This window comes from Homo sapiens, chromosome 8, assembly GCF_000001405.40.
Source record: "Homo sapiens chromosome 8, GRCh38.p14 Primary Assembly".
Taxonomy (NCBI): domain Eukaryota; kingdom Metazoa; phylum Chordata; class Mammalia; order Primates; family Hominidae; genus Homo; species Homo sapiens.
Window position 1 is genome coordinate 143,969,610 of NC_000008.11, and position 16,427 is coordinate 143,986,036.

The 16,427-nt window shown below is 61.7% G+C and overlaps 2 protein-coding genes across 15 annotated transcripts in view, besides 14 other annotated features; both read right to left on the reverse strand.

Moving 5' to 3' along the window:
- PLEC (plectin) overlaps nucleotides 1-7,136 on the reverse strand; it is a 61,593-nt gene extending 54,457 nt beyond the window's left edge. For 5 of the 9 annotated variants that reach the window (XM_047421890.1, XM_047421875.1, XM_047421889.1 and 2 more), the window contains exon 1: nucleotides 3,794-3,920. In XM_047421890.1, the coding sequence (XP_047277846.1) occupies nucleotides 3,794-3,863 (70 nt within the window). In that variant the 5' untranslated portion in view covers nucleotides 3,864-3,920. Of the gene's footprint in view, nucleotides 1-3,793; nucleotides 3,921-5,567; nucleotides 5,767-7,093 lie in introns of those variants that run through there. The other 4 variants (XM_047421872.1, NM_001410941.1, NM_000445.5 and 1 more) reach the window with 1 other exon arrangement.
- Nucleotides 2,244-3,093: an enhancer, noted in NCBI's record as "H3K27ac-H3K4me1 hESC enhancer chr8:145046021-145046870 (GRCh37/hg19 assembly coordinates)". NCBI's record gives its function as "activates a minimal SCP1, AML or CMV promoter by ChIP-STARR-seq in primed H9 embryonic stem cells {active_cell/tissue: H9 hESC(primed)}" and the evidence as "EXISTENCE:reporter gene assay evidence [ECO:0000049][PMID:30033119]".
- Nucleotides 3,094-3,941: an enhancer, noted in NCBI's record as "H3K27ac-H3K4me1 hESC enhancer chr8:145046871-145047718 (GRCh37/hg19 assembly coordinates)". NCBI's record gives its function as "activates a minimal SCP1, AML or CMV promoter by ChIP-STARR-seq in primed H9 embryonic stem cells {active_cell/tissue: H9 hESC(primed)}" and the evidence as "EXISTENCE:reporter gene assay evidence [ECO:0000049][PMID:30033119]".
- Nucleotides 3,094-4,134: a biological region, named in NCBI's record as "H3K27ac-H3K4me1 hESC enhancer GRCh37_chr8:145046871-145047718".
- Nucleotides 3,675-4,134: a silencer, noted in NCBI's record as "silent region_19640". NCBI's record gives its function as "represses an Ori minimal core promoter by ATAC-STARR-seq in GM12878 lymphoblastoid cells {active_cell/tissue: GM12878}" and the evidence as "EXISTENCE:reporter gene assay evidence [ECO:0000049][PMID:35858748]".
- Nucleotides 4,145-4,274: a silencer, noted in NCBI's record as "silent region_19641". NCBI's record gives its function as "represses an Ori minimal core promoter by ATAC-STARR-seq in GM12878 lymphoblastoid cells {active_cell/tissue: GM12878}" and the evidence as "EXISTENCE:reporter gene assay evidence [ECO:0000049][PMID:35858748]".
- Nucleotides 5,311-5,360: a silencer, noted in NCBI's record as "silent region_19642". NCBI's record gives its function as "represses an Ori minimal core promoter by ATAC-STARR-seq in GM12878 lymphoblastoid cells {active_cell/tissue: GM12878}" and the evidence as "EXISTENCE:reporter gene assay evidence [ECO:0000049][PMID:35858748]".
- Nucleotides 5,381-5,450: a silencer, noted in NCBI's record as "silent region_19643". NCBI's record gives its function as "represses an Ori minimal core promoter by ATAC-STARR-seq in GM12878 lymphoblastoid cells {active_cell/tissue: GM12878}" and the evidence as "EXISTENCE:reporter gene assay evidence [ECO:0000049][PMID:35858748]".
- Nucleotides 6,764-7,503: a silencer, noted in NCBI's record as "silent region_19644". NCBI's record gives its function as "represses an Ori minimal core promoter by ATAC-STARR-seq in GM12878 lymphoblastoid cells {active_cell/tissue: GM12878}" and the evidence as "EXISTENCE:reporter gene assay evidence [ECO:0000049][PMID:35858748]".
- Nucleotides 7,067-7,228: a silencer, noted in NCBI's record as "fragment chr8:145050844-145051005 (GRCh37/hg19 assembly coordinates)". NCBI's record gives its function as "represses an EF-1alpha promoter that drives an FKBP-Casp9 reporter gene in an ReSE screen in K562 erythroleukemia cells {active_cell/tissue: K562}" and the evidence as "EXISTENCE:reporter gene assay evidence [ECO:0000049][PMID:32094911]".
- The window catches only part of PARP10 (poly(ADP-ribose) polymerase family member 10), a 35,607-nt gene continuing 26,728 nt past the window's right edge, over nucleotides 7,549-16,427 (reverse strand). For 3 of the 6 annotated variants that reach the window (XM_047422327.1, NM_032789.5, NM_001317895.2), the window contains 9 exons: nucleotides 16,112-16,366; nucleotides 15,803-16,039; nucleotides 14,935-15,719; nucleotides 14,601-14,822; nucleotides 14,399-14,495; nucleotides 13,558-14,202; nucleotides 13,323-13,456; nucleotides 8,298-8,472; nucleotides 7,549-8,221 (listed from right to left, as the gene is read on the reverse strand). In XM_047422327.1, coding sequence (XP_047278283.1) covers nucleotides 7,875-8,221; nucleotides 8,298-8,472; nucleotides 13,323-13,456; nucleotides 13,558-14,202; nucleotides 14,399-14,495; nucleotides 14,601-14,822; nucleotides 14,935-15,719; nucleotides 15,803-16,039; nucleotides 16,112-16,366 — 2,897 coding nt within the window. In that variant the 3' untranslated portion in view covers nucleotides 7,549-7,874. Of the gene's footprint in view, nucleotides 8,222-8,297; nucleotides 8,473-13,322; nucleotides 13,457-13,557; nucleotides 14,203-14,398; nucleotides 14,496-14,600; nucleotides 14,823-14,934; nucleotides 15,720-15,802; nucleotides 16,040-16,111; nucleotides 16,367-16,427 lie in introns of those variants that run through there. The other 3 variants (NR_134234.2, XM_011517336.4, XM_047422328.1) reach the window with 3 other exon arrangements.
- Nucleotides 7,577-8,071: a silencer, noted in NCBI's record as "fragment chr8:145051354-145051848 (GRCh37/hg19 assembly coordinates)". NCBI's record gives its function as "represses an EF-1alpha promoter that drives an FKBP-Casp9 reporter gene in an ReSE screen in K562 erythroleukemia cells {active_cell/tissue: K562}" and the evidence as "EXISTENCE:reporter gene assay evidence [ECO:0000049][PMID:32094911]".
- Nucleotides 7,704-7,913: a silencer, noted in NCBI's record as "silent region_19645". NCBI's record gives its function as "represses an Ori minimal core promoter by ATAC-STARR-seq in GM12878 lymphoblastoid cells {active_cell/tissue: GM12878}" and the evidence as "EXISTENCE:reporter gene assay evidence [ECO:0000049][PMID:35858748]".
- Nucleotides 8,204-8,393: a silencer, noted in NCBI's record as "silent region_19646". NCBI's record gives its function as "represses an Ori minimal core promoter by ATAC-STARR-seq in GM12878 lymphoblastoid cells {active_cell/tissue: GM12878}" and the evidence as "EXISTENCE:reporter gene assay evidence [ECO:0000049][PMID:35858748]".
- Nucleotides 8,784-8,933: an enhancer, noted in NCBI's record as "active region_28082". NCBI's record gives its function as "activates an Ori minimal core promoter by ATAC-STARR-seq in GM12878 lymphoblastoid cells {active_cell/tissue: GM12878}" and the evidence as "EXISTENCE:reporter gene assay evidence [ECO:0000049][PMID:35858748]".
- Nucleotides 9,104-9,193: an enhancer, noted in NCBI's record as "active region_28083". NCBI's record gives its function as "activates an Ori minimal core promoter by ATAC-STARR-seq in GM12878 lymphoblastoid cells {active_cell/tissue: GM12878}" and the evidence as "EXISTENCE:reporter gene assay evidence [ECO:0000049][PMID:35858748]".

The following is a 16,427-nucleotide window of genomic DNA, read 5'->3' on the forward strand; positions in this document are numbered from 1 at the left end:
GAGTGGAGGTGAGGCGGTCAGTGAAGAAAGAAAGAGCGGCCCAGCAGCAGTCCAGCGTTGTGGGCAGGGGCCTGTCCTGGGGGTCAGGGCATGAGTGCAGGCCGGGGAGTGGGGAGTGGGGCCAGCCGGGGGCCTGGGCAGCTGGGGATAGAGACTTTAGGTTGTCATGTTAGGGATGGGAGTGGGGCTTAGGGGTGCTGTGAGGTGGTCCTGGAGAGGGCAGCAGGGGTGAGAATGAGGCCGGGGTGAGTACCGTTGGTGAGTGGGTGGCGTTGGTGTGGGGCAGGGGCCAGGGGTGGGAGGCCTGCATTGGTCTGGGGGAAAAGCGGGCCTGGAGAGGGGCTGGGTGTGTTGGGTCTCCACAGGGCGTGTGCCCAGCCTGTGGCCTGCACTCTCTTCAGGACCCCTTGCCAGCCCTGGGCCTGCCCAGTGCCACTGTGCCTGGCCCCCTCCTCATGTGTCCCCTACTCTCCCCTGTCCTGGACTCTGAGCTTGGTTATCTGTGTCCCTGGCACTGGCCCCAGGCCCTCAGCCAGCACTGCAGGGTGTTTGCACGGGTGAGTGGGTGATGGCGTAGGGCGTCATCTGCAGTGGTTGGTGCTCAGCTGGCAGAGGGCAGGCTGGAGGTTATTTGGGGCTCACTGGAGAGGAATTTTGGTCGGTGTTTACTGTCAAAAGTAAAACGCTCCAAAAAAAAAAAAAATCAAGCAGGGTGGAAGTATACAAAGAAAAACGGGGAGAGTCACACCTCTGGGTTCAGGCTCCCGGCTGGGGCGATCGCTGTGCATGAGAGAGGGCGGGAGAGAGCACACGGATTTGGCCGCCCCTTTACAGGGAGCTCAGACTGAGATTTCCTCTGGAGCCACTGGCTTTTCATGTCAGTACCAATTAGGTTGACCTCATGCTGATTATTAGTATTTTTTAATAGCTTTATTGAGAGGTAATTCACATGCCACACCATTCACCCATTCAAAGCGTCCAATTCAGTGGTTTCAGTAGATTCGGAGTTGTGTAGCTGTCAATTCCAGGATATTTTCTCACCCAGCCCCTGGCAACACCGCTCTCTTTTCAGTTATGGACTGGCCGCCTCACCTCCACTCACCTGCATTGCCACAACTCTCTCCTAGAACTGTCCCCGCCCTGCCACACCCACCCCAGGTCTCTCTCCAGGCTCCCATGGTGCGGCAGAACGGCCCAGCCTCTATGAGCTGTCACAGGCCAGGCTTGGGGCGCTGGGCGACTGGACACCTCTTGGCAGCTGGGCCGACTGTCTAAGTCACCAGCCCACAGCCCTCAGCACGGAGGCCTCTCCCACAGGGTGCCCAGAGCTCTCCCGCCACAGGCTGCAGTAGCCTCAGCCCCAGAGGAATCTGCCCTGGATGGGGGACAGGGAGAATGGGGGGGCTGAGGGGCTCAGGCAGACAGGAAGTTGGCGATGTTCCAAGCGGAGCAGTGGCCGCCTGACTGTACAGGGAAGACCGGGGATTTCCAGGGGAGAGCCAGGGAATGACGTGTCCAGGGGAGGGTCTGAGACGTTGTGGGGTGGGGGGTGAAGGTCACCGGAGTGAGGGTCAGACAGGGAGTTGTCTGTGAGAGGGCACAGTGAGGTGGAACCGAGGCAATGCCACAGAGGGGAGGAGGCCAGGAGGCCTAAGCCAGAGCACCTCCTCAGTGCAGGGATCAGCTGGGCAGGGGGCACAGGCCTGGCCTCCCTGCCCTCCTCAGAACCACCAAATGCTGAGCTGGGCCCAGGACAGGGGCCCGCAGCTGCTTACCATGGAGGGATTTGGGGCTGCCTTGCCGTCACTGGCTGGCTGGCAAGGGGTGCCATGCCCTCCCACAGTCCCTCCACCCCAGGGACAGGAAGGGCCGGGGCTCCAGCCCTCTAGCAGGTCCAAGGGGCTCACAGAGGTCAGGCCTGGAAAGGTGTAGGGCACAGGGGCCACCTCTGACCTCCTGCAGGCCCTCCTCAGCCTTGGTCCGTGGCTCCCAGACACAGGTACCAGCCCAGCCCCTCCCGTCCCCTTGTCTCAAGCCAGGAGCTAAGGAGACTTGGGGTACCTGGTGTGCTCACGGAGCCTCAGCACCTGCCTTGCTGTTTAGCCACTCTCAGGCCAGTGCCACACACATGCGGGCAGCTGCACCATCACGTGACAACTCCACTTCAGGCAAGCCCCCCGGCCCCCCTGCCCCCTCACCAGCCTCCACCACCAAGCCCAGAAGGCAGACAATGGGCCAAGACTGCGAGTGTGCCCAACACCAATCCTGGCCTCCAGAGGAGCTGCGCTTGGGAGGGAGGACCCTGACAGAGGGTCCCAGCAACCTCCAGGGATCTGTCTGGCTCACCCCTGGATGAATCAGAAGTAGTTCCCACCCCAGGAGGTAGAGGAAAGACAGCCCTGGGGCCAGGAAAGCCTCAGCACAATGCCCAGAACAGGCTGGGGCACCCCAGGCAGCCCAGCAACCTGACCAGATGAAGAACTCCAGGAGGAAACGATCCTGCACAGTTCCCGCACTTTGAACAGAGTGGTCAGCTCAGAAACAGCTCTGTCCTGGGGCTTGCCAGGAGGGCTGGAGCCCAGGTGGGCGGCTGCTTCCCTGCCCTATACCCCAGCACCCCTCCGGGTGCTCCCTCTAAGGCAGGGCCGGCCATGTAGAGCATGAGCAACAGGCTGCCCGCTCCAGGCCTCCCCAAGGGTGCAGGAGTGTCTCCCCTGGCCCGAATGAACTAGTCACACAGGCAAAGCGGCTGGGCACAGCACTGTCAAAGAGAGCCACAGCAGTACATCCACCCTGCCCCAGAGCCGTCGCTGGAGGACGCCTGAAGGAGATGAGTTCGGGGCACCATGAAACCTACCCAGCTGGGCAAGGTTGTGGTGGAGAGCGGCACCACGGGGCCCCAGCAGGACCTCTCTCCCTGAGCTGCCCTTGGGGGCAGAGCCAGCAAAACCAGCCACGTGGAGCTGGAGTCTGCTCTGATCGGCTCTGCCTGGGGGCCCCCACCGCGACCCTCCCCAGCAGCTCAGTCCCTTGCTCCTAAGCCTCTGCAGGCCGGCAGCCAATGCTGTGTCCACAACCGCCTGGAGCCGGGCGACCCAGGCTGAGCCAGGCAGCTGGGCTGCAAGAATGGCCGGTGGGACCAGGACCTGGGAGGGTCCAGGGGCTCCCCGTGGGCGTGGACTAGGGCAAGGGGGTCTGCCGAGGCATCAAGCAGGTGGGCAGGCCACTCTGATGCTCCCCTAGAGAGGAAGGAGGGGCCACCCTGACCCCTAGCCCACAGCTGTCCCCTAGTGAACAGAGAAGGGGTGTGGGGGGGGTGCCCTGCCAAGGAAGGGTGGCAGCCCAGGCCCTCGCCAGTTTAGGGAGGTGAGGAGAGGCGGCAACTATGTGACCCATTGCCAGGCGGCGGAGCTGCCCCTGTTCCATGCAGACGCGCCCCAGAGGTGGGGCAGGGGATGGCTCAGCCTTGACCCATGTGTCTGCTGGCCACAGACACCGGATCCTGGCTCAGACAGCCGACCCCGACAAGCCCTGAGCGCCCCCACCCGCCCGCGGCCCACCCCACCCACCCGAGCCGCGCGATGCCCTATTAAGGGCATGGCCTCGGGGGCTCAGCGGAGCGAGTCCTCCCCTTCCCTAGGCACTGGCAGCCGTTGGGGGCGATCCAGGCGGACGAGGCCGGCGGAGTGGCCGCGCTCGGGCCGGCGATCGGGACCGCCACCGTGGACGACAAGGTGCTCGGCGGCTGGGCTGTCAGGAGCGGCCCGACAGGCAGCGGGACGGGGGGCCGTACCTTTGTACTTCTCGCGCACCTCCTCGTAGGCCTGGATGAAGTCCTGCTCGTCGGGCAGCGGGCCGGCCATGCCGGCGGGCGCGGGGCGCGGGGTGCAGCGGAGCCTCCAGCACCCGGCGGCCACTCTGTCCCCGCGGCCGCGCGCGCCGCTTAAAGAGGCCGCCCCCGCCCCGCCCCCGCCCCGCCCCCGCACCCAGGATGCCCCACGGGCGGGGCGGGGCCGGGGCCGCCGCGGCCGGGCAGAGGGAGCCGCGTCTGGGCCCCTCCCGGCGGGCCGGTTCCGCGGGCTCCGAGTCCCGCACGCACGCCCTTTCCCGTTCTCGCCCGGGTCGCGGCCGCCGACACCGCGGTCGCCCGGGGGTCCTCGGGTGGCCCCCGCCCAGGGGCGGCCGCGACCTGTCTGTTCCCCGCCGGGCCGGCGACCTGCCTCCGAGACGCTCCCCTGCCCGCCCCCCACCTTGCTTCCTGCGTGCAGCTGAGAACTTTCCCATTGCAACATTGGAGACGACTGAGTCGGTATAAAGAACCCTTAAAACACTACACACAAGAAAAATTAAGTACACATACGAGGACTGGAATAGCCCATTCACAGAAGGAAAAAATGCTTGGTGATAATTAAAACAACTCTTTCCACCCATCAGATTGGCAAAGCCCCCGCTCTCCCCGCCTTCACCAATGTCGGCCACCCTGTCTGGGATGCCCCTGGCCGTGTTTTCTCCAAGCTTAATGCCATATGTCCTGTAACTGCAAGTCCCGCTTCCAGGAATCGGTCCTAAGGAAACCGTCAGAGGACGCAGAGCCCCGGCGCGGAAGGTGCTGGCTGGGGGCAAAGCCTTTGCAGTGAGTACCGAAGGCAACCACGGTCAGCCGGGGCCTCGGGACCCCCCACACTCCTCCACAACTGTAAAGGTGATGCTGAAGAAAGCCCAGGCGTGGGAACGACACAAGTGATTCCCTTTCAAGTGGGAAGAAAGTGACTTCTTTCTTTAAAGTCCGTGTGTGCTGTGAAAAGCCCTGAAGGTCATGCAGATGGAACCAGACCCTGGGGCTGGAGCTGGGTGCACAGCAGTGACCCTCTCCTTCCCTCTTTCCTGCTCCTACCAGCCCCGCTTCCCGTCGTCTGCAACATCCCCCCAGGGCTCAGCACCTGGCCTTGCAGCCCTCTCCTGGCCTCCCGCAGGGGCCTCCCTGCCCTCCGGCTGGAACAGGTCAGGACTCTCAAGCCAAAGCCTAGAGAGCTACTGCTCCTCCCTCTCCTAGCACAGCTCTAGGTCACCCACTTCCCTCCTGCCCTCCCCCTTCCCCAAGCATCTCGCTGGATGCTTCCCATCGTTCTCCCTGGATGGGGAGCTACTGGAAAGCAAGGCCAGATCCTGGCTCAGGAAGAGGCTGGGGCTCCAGACAACCAGGTACCCCCTCCCTATACACTGCTCCTGTACATTCCCACCTGGCCGCCATTGTGGCAGCCAAGACCGAGGGCCTGGTGGGGAACCCAAAAAATTATCCTTGTTGCATCTGGGCACTGGACCGTGTTAAAATCAAGGATGGACGCCGCGGCAAGAAGCCCAACCCCAGGCCTCATGAACCGCCTGGGCGCGGCCGGCAGGTGGCGCTGTGCCGCCTGCACTCACCTGGGACGCGCGAGGCCCTCCGTGACCCGCAGATCCCCCTAGGCCTCCCCCACCCAGTCCCCGCTCCAGCGCCTAGCACGCAGCGGGAACTCAGTCAACCTCGCGTGCCAAGGAGGTGCACAGGCAAGGCCCTGCGCAGTTACCTGCGATGCGAATGACCGCCCGCTCAGCTGGGTCCAGGACACTCCCGTTGCTCCCAGCGCCACCCCCGCTGCGCCGGCTCCGCTGCGTTTTCCCAAGGTTCCAGGGCAGTGTGTCCCCAGGGCTGGGCGAGCCACTGCTTCCATTGGAGACATCTTCAGAGACTGCCCGGACCTCAGCGTCCTCACCCGACATGGCCTCCTGGAAGGGGAGCAGGAGGGGTCACATCTCTGCCTGTTCAGGAGTGGACTCTGCACGCCGACCCACCCACCACCTTCTTAACCTAGACACTGAACTCTCCCCACCCAGCCTCTCGCCTGGACACTGGCACCCACACCCCTCCTGCACTCTGCTGTACCCACATATTGACCCCCATGCTCTGGCCCCAGGCACTGACTTACCCTCTCTCCATCCATGACTGCCTTGCCCCCTCCCGCGCACTCCTCAGATACCTACACAGTGACCCCCCAGCCACTGGCCTTACCCTCCAGTCCATCACCAGGACACTGACCACCCTGGCCACCCCCACTCCCACACACTGACTGCCACTCTCCTCTCTTAGTCACCCACACCCCACCCACCTACTCTGTCACCCAGGGGCTCAACCGGCACACGACAGACCACCTTCCACTCTGTCAAATGGAAGGGGAAGGGGTGACTACCTTCACTCAGATGCCGGCCTCCACTGCCTCCATCCCAAACTGGACCCGCCTCTAACCCTCTAATCGCAGGCAGGCGAGGCCATCAAGGAAAGCTGACCACCGCCCCCTCCACTCACCGGGTCATCAGGGAAGGACACCCAAGCCCTTCCCCTGGACACCGGCAGTCCACCTCCAAGCTCTCTCGACCTCTAGGACTCCCCATCACGCCACCCCACCTCAGCCCGCAGTCCCACCTCGATCTCCGCAGCGAAGGCCTATAAATAGCTGCAGCCGCAGCGGCGTGGGCCGCGGGAGCTCTGCTGCAGCGAGGCCGGGAGGGAGCCCGGGCCGCAGCTCCAGCGGCCCACAGTGGGGGCGCGTACACCGGCACCGCGGACGCAACCAGGACGCACGCATACCCACGCGCGCACACTCCCCAGCCCCCGTCCCCAAGAGCACTGGCGTGCGGGAGGTGAATGGGGCTCTGTCTCGGAGGGGGTGGGCTGGCGCGGGGGCACAATGTGGGCTCTGTGCCTCCGCCCTCAGGCCAAGGGCTAAGGAGGAGGCAGCGGACACCGAGGAGGGGGCCGCCGCGCCCCGCCCCCACTGGCTTCTCCACGGGCCGCCCCGGTTGCAGCCCCCCGCCCGGAGCCCTGCGGTCAGCCGCGCCTCCCCAGCGGCCTTTCCTGCCCACACCCCGGGCACCGCCCGTCCAGTTCCGCAGTCTCGGGCGTGCAGGGAGGTGCTGTCCTCTCGAGCGAGGGCAGGAGGGGGCGCGGCGCAGCCCCTAGTTCCGTGTGGCCTGCGGCCGGAGACCGCCCCCCGACCCCCACCCCGCAGCGCCCGCACGCGGCGCGCCTCTCCATCCTGGCCGCGGTCATACATGCCTGGTGGCTCCGCTCACTTCAGCTCTGCCGCCGCAGCCAGACTGCTCGGGCCGGGAGAGCGGCGGAGGCGGCGCAGGCGGGGCGAGCCCCGAGCCCCGCCCCGGCCCCCACCCAGAGCTGCGCCGCGCGGGCCCGGCCGAGAGCGAGCGAACGCTGCCAGCGAGATCGGGCGCCCGTGTCTGCGCGGGGCCGCCGAGATCTCGGGAGCGGCGGGGCTGGGGCCCGGGCGGGCGATTCGGCCAGGGCAGCGGCGCACACCTGAGCCCCCGGCGCACGGGGCGGGCCGGTAGTCAAGGAGACGCTGTCTGCGCCGGCGTGCGCGACACGGGAACGTCGTGCGCTCGCCCCGGTGAGCTCCGGGCCCCGCCCCGCACCCCGACGCCTCCTCGGAAGCAGCAGATCCCGCCCCTGGGCCGCGGAGATCCCCACTCCCCAAACAGAGGTCGCAGTCAGAGTTCCCGGGTCCCTTCCGCCTGGGTTCACGTTCACGTTTATTCAAACAACAGAGCCGACTCGGGCGAGGTCTGGGAGCGGCGGGCGGGCGGTGTCGCCTCCTGGGCTCTGCTGACCCCTGGTGGTGGGGTCGGCCCAGGCTGGGACCTAGCCCGGCCCCCCTCGGCCGCTGCTGACCGCCATCCCCCACACCGCCTTCTGGAGCCCGCAGAGGGAGGCAGGGGCGTCCCCGGGGACAGCTCAGGCGGCCACAGTTGGGGGCGGGGAGCATCAGCCTGTGCGGAGCTGGGAGCCTGGGAAGCAGGAGGCCAGAGGGTGGCCCCTTCGGTTAAGTGTCTGGGGAGCGGCCCGGGAGCCCAGAGGGGTCGTCGGGGGAAGCGCGGGGCACGTGCTCGCAGGTGATGAGGTGGGTGGGCAGCGCCTGGGTGTCGTGGAAGATGACGAAGATGCTGGGCTGGCAGATGCAGTCCACGGCGCTGTCGTAGCGCAGGAGCACGTGGCCAGGACCCCGCAGAGGGGGCGCCCGCAGACCGCGGCGGCCCTGCCCGTAGTCGCCAGTCAGCACCCGTGCCACGAACACCGCCTTATGGCCATCGGCGTTGGGGGGCGAGTAGCGGTCCTGCACCGACAGGGAGGCGCGCCTGGCGAAATACACGCCCTTCCCGTAGACCGTGGCTGCAGGGCGAGACGGGGCAAGGTCAGGGTGGTCGGGGTGCGCAGAGCCCCCGCCCCTGCCCGGCTCAGGCCTCACCGTTGCGGCCGCAGAAGCTGCGGTTGAAGCCGTGGGCGCAGATGTCAGGCACTGCCGGTGCCGTCGTGCCGTGGTACAGCACCTGCTCCACCGGGCGCCGCTCGCATCGCTGCAGCAGGCGCTCCCGGTACAGCTCATACTGCTGCTGCAGCAGCGGGTGCGACACGCGCTCCACCTGCGGGGAAGGCCCGGGCCAGGATTAAACACCCTCCCTACGCCCTGGGGCCGACGCAGGGCAGAGCTGAGCCTGGCAACCAGGAGCCCTCTGTTGGAGGAGTCCAGGGTTTGAGGGAGCCCTTGCAGCCCCCATCATGCTCTGTCCAGCAGCAGACAGTAACACCTCCGTGAAGCAAGTGACTTCAGAGGGCCGCTGGGGAGGCCTGACCCCTCCCCCTCCCGTGGAGGTCTGCGGGCGGGCAAACCCCACCCACTCAAGCGAGGCCTCTGCAGAGAAAAGCTGAGCCAGGGCCCTATGCTGCCTACAGGACTTGACTCCAACACGAGGAGATGCCACAGACCTCTCAGTGCTGAAAGACCCAGGTGGGAGAGAAGGCCTCAGGTGACCAACCTGACAGCCCTGGGAAACACTTTTAAAGAAATTTTAAATAGTTTCTTCAGAGAGTTGCAAAAGAACACCATGTCTATTAAACAAAACTAGCTGCTATGAAAAGGAACTAGTCTGAAAACCAGAGTGCTCCTGCATTCAGAAAGGGACGCTGAGCTAAATCTAGAGGGGGTGAGCCAAATGAGGAAGTGGTTCAAACTGAAGACCCAGCTAGCGTTCTAGATGGAGTTCAGGAACTGATGCAGAGTGAGAAGCTAACGGAAGAGAAAGGAACTCCGAGGGAGCAGGTGAGGGGGCCTGAGGTCTGAGCCGGCATAGCAGGAGCTCCACCGGCCGGAGCTCCAGCACACACAGGGAAGACGCTTCCCTGAGCTGAAGGAACATCTTCAGATACACAAGATCCGTGAAATGCCAAGAAGGACAATGAGGAAAGACAACGCCCCTGGCACCCACGTGCCAGGAAACCTCAACCTTCAGAGTGAAAGAAAACCCTGCAAGTTTTTTTTTTTTTTTTTCTTTGAGAGGGAGTCTGGCTGTGTCGCCCAGGCTGGAGTGCAGTGGCACGATCTCGGCTCACTGCAAGCTCCGCCTCCCGGGTTCACGCCATTCTCCTGCCTCAGCCTCCCGAATAGCTGGGACTACAGGCACCTGCCACCGCGCCCGGCTATCTTTTTTGTATTTTTAGTAGAGAAGGGGTTTCACTGTGTTAGCCAGGATGGTCTCGATCTCCTGACCTCGTGATCCGCCCGCCTCAGCCTCCCAAAGTGCTGGGATTACAGGCGTGAGCCACCGCAGCTGGCCAACCCTGCAAGTTTACACACACACACAACAAGGTCAATATGCAAACCGGAAGAAGTCTCACCTTCTCACATTGGGTCTCTCATTACCGACACCAGATGCTAAGAAACCATGGGGGGATATTTTTTAACTTTCCAAGAAAAATATTCTTTTAAGAATGAAGAAAAACAGCAATGTCTTCAAATATCTGAGGAAAAACATATTTTGAACCTGAACACTATATCCAGCCAAACTAGTAATGAAGAATGAGGACAAATAAGGGCATATTAGGACACACGAGAACATGGAAGTTCATACCAACATCAAATTACAGTTGCAAAATACCTCTAATTGTAAAGGGCAATATAAATTTAAAAGTCGGCCGGGTGCAGTGGCTCACGCCTGTAATCCTGGCACTTTGGGAGGCCAAGGTGGGTGGATCACTTGAGGTCAGGAGTTCGAGACCAGCCTGACCAACATGGCAAAACCCCGTCTCGCTGGGCATGGTGGCTCACGCCTGTAATCCCAGCACTTTGGGAGGCCGAGGTGGGCGGATCACGAGGTCGGGAGATCGAGACCATGGTGAAACCCCGTCTCTATTAAAAATACAAAATTTAGCCGGGCGCGGTGGCGGGCGCCTGTAGTCACAGCTACTCAGGAGGCTGAGGCAGGAGAATGGCGTGAACGCAGGAGGCGGAGCTTGCAGTGAGCCGACATCGTGCCACTGCACTCCAGCCTGAGTGACAGAGCGAGACTCCGTCTCAAAAAAAAAAAAAAAAAAAACCCGTCTCAGCCGGGCGCGGTGGCTCACGCCTGTAATCCCAGCACTTTGGGAGGCCGAGGTGGGCAGATCATGAGGTCAGGAGATTGAGACCATCCTGGCTAACATGGTGAAACCCCGTCTCTAATAAAAATACAAAAATAAGCTGGGCGTGGTGGCAGGCGCCTGTAGTCCCAGCTACTCAGGAGGCTGAGGCAGGAGAATGGCGTGAACCCGGGAGGCAGAGCTTGCAGTGAGCTGAGATTGCACCACTGCACTCCAGCCTGGGCTACTGAGTGAGATTCCGTCTCAAAAAAAAAAAAAAAAAAAAAAAAAAAAAAAACCATCTCTACTAAAAATACAAAAAGTAGCTGGGTGTGGTGGTGTGTGCCTGTAATCCCAGCTACTTGGGAGGCTGAGGCAGAATCACTTGAACCCAAGAGGTGGAGGTTGCAGTGAGCCGAGATCATGCCACTGCACTCTAGCCTGGGCAACAGAGAGAGACACTGTCTCAAAAAAATTATATATATAAATGTATATATTAATATATAAATGTATATGTTTAAACATATATGTTCACATATACGTAAATTTAAAAGTCAAATATGTTTAGCACCCACTCAAGGAGATACTCCCACTAAACAAAAGAGTCTGTGCCAAAAGGTGACAAGCGGGGTACTGAGTAACCCGGTGGTCAAGAATGGCCTGGAAAAAATGAAGAAAGTCAAAAAAAGAAAAGCCATTAGCCTTGAATCCTAGAACATCTTTTTTACAGAACAGAATTTTAATAACTAGGATTTCACTTCTCTTTCTATGGCTCAGTGGTAAATGTTTTTTCATTATTATAGTATGTCTACCAACCTATGGCCCACGCATGGAGGCTTTGTGATAGTTACAGAAACCTTTACGACATAATAAAAATAATGTAACTGACCAAATTGAGATGGAAGATGAGGGAGGAGGCAAAAGAGAGAGAAGCGAGGCCCATTCTCCTCATCTTCCATGCGGGAAGGCAAGAAACAATCTCTAAAGCTGTCAAGTGAAAAAAAAAAATTCAAGCATACCATTTAAAGTCATCAAGGTGCTCACTAAATTCAAGCATACCATTTAAAGTCATCAAGGTGCTCACCGGAAGAACCAAGTACGTATAATTAACAAAACCACCAGGATATGAGGTCAGTGCGTCTGGGTGGTGGTGATCCTGGTGGCGGTGAGCGGTGACGGTGTGTTGGTGAAGCTGACGGTGACAGTGGTGATGCTAATGGTGGTGATGATGGTGGCCACGGTGGTGGTGGTAGTGGTGGTGGTGATGGTGGTGACGACAGTGAGTGGTGAAGGTGATGGTGATGATGGTGGTGACGACAGTGAGTGGTGAAGGTGATGGTGATGATGGTGGTGACGACAGTGAGTGGTGAAGGTGGTGGTGATGATGGTGGTGACGACAGTGAGTGGTGAAGGTGGTGGTGATGATGGTGGTGACGACAGTGAGTGGTGAAGGTGGTGGTGATGGTGGTGACGACAGTGAGTGGTGAAGGTGATGGTGATGATGGTGGTGACGACAGTGAGTGGTGAAGGTGGTGGTGATGATGGTGGTGACGACAGTGAGTGGTGAAGGTGATGGTGATGATGGTGGTGACGACAGTGAGTGGTGAAGGTGGTGGTGATGATGGTGGTGACGACAGTGAGTGGTGAAGGTGGTGGTGATGATGGTGGTGACGACAGTGAGTGGTGAAGGTGATGGTGATGATGGTGGTGACGACAGTGAGTGGTGAAGGTGGTGGTGATGATGGTGGTGACGACAGTGAGTGGTGAAGGTGGTGGTGATGATGGTGGTGACGACAGTGAGTGGTGAAGGTGGTGGTGATGATGGTGGTGACGACAGTGAGTGGTGAAGGTGGTGGTGATGATGGTGATGGTGATGGTGGTGGTGATGACAGTGAGTGGTGAGGGTCATGGTGATGGTGTGATGGTGGTGGTGATGGTGATGGGGTGATGGTGATGATGGTGGTGATGATGGTGGTGAGGGTCATGGTGATGGTGTGATGGTGGTGATGATGGTGGTGAGGTCTGGGGACAGCCAGAGGTTCTTTTTGCATTTCTGACCAGCTCCTGGTGGAGGGTGATGCTGCTGGCCCCACGCACAACTTTGGGCATCAAGAGTTGAGAGTGCCCCGTGCAAGGCCGGGCGCGGTGGCTCACGCCTGTAATCCCAGCACTTTGGGAGGCCGAGGCGGGCGGATCACGAGGTCAGTAGATCGAGACCATCCTGGCTAACATGGTGAAACCCCGTCTCCACTAAAAATATTTTTTAAAAAATTAGCCGGGCGTGGTGGCAGGCGCCTGTAGTCCCAGCTACTTGGGAGGCTGAGGCAGGAGAATGGCGTGAACCCGGGAGGCGGAGCTTGCCGTGAGCCGAGATCGTGCCACTGCACTCCAGCCCAGGAGACACAGCGAGATGCCGTCTCAAAAAAGAGAGTGCCCCGCGCAGTGTCATCAGCACAGTGACCGCAGCGAGCCCGGGCCTTTCTGTGGAGGCAGAAGAGCGCCCAGAACAGCACAAGGGACGCATCTGTGGAGCGAGTAATCCTCAAAATGACCACAAGATGGCATCACCGCCCCATGCTCCAAATAAGGAAACTGAGGCCTGGAGCTGGTCCCATAGTCCCTGCTGACCCAGCCACGAGTGGCAGAGTGGGGACCCTCACTCAGGCCTATCAGATCCCAAGGCCCCCACTCTGTTCCCTCCTGTTTCCCTACCCACTTTGGGAACGCCCTCTGGGCAGAGAACAGGGCTGGGAGCCTGTCAGCTCCTGGTCAGCTGACCTTGATGTAGGCGAGAGGGACAGGCCACAGACTTGGCAAGGCGCTAATGGTGCAAGAGCCCAGGACGCCATGAGGCCAGAGAGACAGGGCATGGACTCACACGAACGACGCGGATGCTGCTGCGGGCAGCGTCCAGGGTGTCGTAGAAGGCCCGCACCACCTCCTGGAACTCCCCGGTGTTCTCTGCCAGACGCTCCAGGTTGTTCCAGGGCCCCTTCAGCGTCTGCCCCGCCACTGATGCATGGGGAAAAGCGGGGGGTCAGAGCCATGCCTGGGGCACTAGCCCCTGCTAACCAGCCCACCCCACCGTCCCTCAGTCCAGGAGGTAGACTCACAGGTAGGGCCTGAAGCTGCCAAGGGAAAGGCCAAACTCTGATCCCAGGGGCCAGCCAGAAGTGCCACCAAGTGGCGGGCAGCACGGGCAGGGTGGGCCCCGAAGCCACGGAGGATGGTGCAGTCACCACGCAGGGCAACACTCACACCATGGCACCGCTCCAGGCGAGCACGCAGCTCTGCAGGCAGTGTGCGGCGCCAGGGCCCCACCGTCTCCTCCTGGACGTGGACCTCCAAGGCAGCCCTGAGCGCCCGGTCCAGCTCCTCCACATCCTGCTCAAAGGCCGAGTGCACCACCAGCTGGGCCTTGCCATCAGTCCCCCCATCTGGGGGCTCTTCTGCCTCCAACGGGGGCTGCTCCAGCAGGGAGAGGGTTAGGGCTTGCCGCAGGGCAGCAGCCTCCTCCTGCTCAGCCACCTGACCTTGAGGCTCCAGTGACCGGTGGAGGGCCAGCTGCAGAGCGGCCTCCTCCTCCAGCCACCTGGGTGCCACAGTGCTGGGGGCCACAGGCTCCTCCTCCTCATGCCCTGGGGTCACCTCCTCCTCTGGCTGCTCCTGAGGCCCTTCCTCCTCCAGCTCCCGAGGCAGCCAGTCCTCCCCGTCTAGGTCTAGGCCCTCCAGGGTGGCCAGCAGTTCTCGGACCTCCTCTGGGGGCAGGGAGAGGCCATTGGGTCAGGGGCTGGACCCAGGAGGAGTTGGAATGGATGAAAGATGGGGAGCAAGTTTTTAGGGTACAGGGTGGGCCTAAGATGGGTCAGTAGACAGATGGGAGCACAGAGCAGGGCAGGGGGTGAGGTCAAGTGAGGGCCACAGGATGTGCTGAGGGCTCCCAGGGAGCCCTACCCAGGCTCACGTCCTCCTGGTCACCACCTGTACTGTCTGGGGTCCACAGGGTGTGGGCGTTGCCAGGGAGCACTGGGAGGGCCTCGGTAGGGTCCACCTGTAGGGAGAGGATGTCAGGACCACTAGCCTCTGGGCAAGGGCAGAGGAGGCCTGGGGCAGAGGCGTGAGAAAGGGGAGGGCAGGGGTGGGACTCCATCTCTACCTCTTCAAGGCCTGTGTCCAACGTGGCTGTGGCCAGGCGCTCTGTCCCAAAGACACACTGGAACTGAGCCTCCAGCCCCTGGAGAAGGTGCTGCCCTTCTGGGCCCAGGAGAAACCTGGCGCTGCCCGGGTGCTCCAGGCACAACACATGGCAGCTAATGCTGCCCAGCAGGCTCCGCAGAAACTCCTCAGCCGCCTGGCAGGAAGCCTGGGCTCCACAGAGCTGCAGGGCCATTGCAGAGATGGAGTTTGCAGGTTTAGAGCACAGGAAAGGTACTTTGAGTCCCCAGTAGGAGGAGGGGGCTGAAGGTGAGGAGTCCTGAGGGGTCACTCACCCGAAAGCCAGTCATATCCGGTCCTTCAAGTGGCAAGAGAGCGACGTCTCCCAGGCCCGCAAGAAGGTCCTCATGGTAGAGCTGCAGGAAGCGCATCGCCCCTGGCTCCATCAATAGCACCATCTCCACCAGGCCCTCCTGCCCTGCCAGCTTCACACATCCTGGGCTCACAGGCCCTGCCTTCTCCAGAGACCCCATGGTGATCTCCATGGGACCCACCAGCCCCTCTTGCTCTGGTGAGTCCATGGCAATTTCCACCAGGCCCTCCTGCCCCAGCAACCCCTTAGAGGTCTCCACTGGGCCTGCAGACCCCACAGGCCCCAGGCTCATGGGCCCCTCCTGTTCCTGCAACCCCACAGGCCTCAGGCTTACCAGCCCCTCATGTTCCAGAGACCCCATGGGCATCGAGCTGACTTGCTCTGCCTGTCCCAGAGACCCCATGGGACCTGTCCTCAGAGAGGTCCCTGACTGCCCTGGTTCCTGGCCAGAGCCTGTTGTCATAATCCCTCTACCCTGCACCATGGGACCTGTCCTCAGAGAGGCCCCTGACTGCCCTGGTTCCTCGCCAGAGCCCATTGTCACAGTCCCTGCACCCTGCAGAGCCGTCACCAACCCTCCGGTCCTCAGGAGAGCATGCTTGGTAGCCCTAGGCCCCTGGGTGGACGGGTGGTCCCCTCCACTGGTGTTCTCAGCCAGCTCCTCGGGCTCCAGGATGTCGTAGTGGGGGACAAGGCTCAGCTCTGAGCCCTGCAACCGGTGCTCCTGCTGCAACACTCGTTCTGCCACTTGGAGGAAGGGAAAGGACAGAAAGCCTGTCAGATTTCTGCAGGAGAGGGACGGTCGGCTGGGTCTGCCCAGCCCCACTCACCTTGCCACTGCTGGAAGGAGGCAACAGTGCCCAGGGGCCCGGGTAGGCGTTGCAGGTCCTCCAGGGGCCCCCCACCACTGCGGCGCTCATTCTCCAGGTACAACTCCAGCAACAGCAGGTCCACAGAGGCACCATCCCCCACCACACGCACCGCTCGGGCCTGGGGAACCCGGGCCAGGGACACCAAGGTCCCCTCCAGGCCCAGATTCTGGGCCTGCTCCTCCAGGACACGGACATCTGTGGGGTATGTGCAGGTCAGCTCAGGGAATCCCCCCTAGCCAGCACCTCAACCCCAACCCTGCCTCTCACCTGCCTCAGAAAGGGGCTTGGGCAACTGGACCAGAGCCCGGTCTGGCCGGGGGCTGGCCAAGGCACAGCAAGGCTGTACTGGGAGCCCCGAGGCCCGCAGCAAGGCCTGGACATGCTGCTCCAAGCGCTGGGGCGTGGTGCCAGGGGGCAGTCCTTGGAGCAGCAGGCGTGCAGGGGCTCGTGGTGGAGCTGGCCGCAGGCTCAGCTGGGCACCATGTAGTTCGTGATCTGCCTGGGCCAAGACCCTCTCGGCGTCTGTGGGCAGGGGCGGGGCAGGATGTCAGGCATTAGAATATCAGGGCACCCAGGCTGTCCC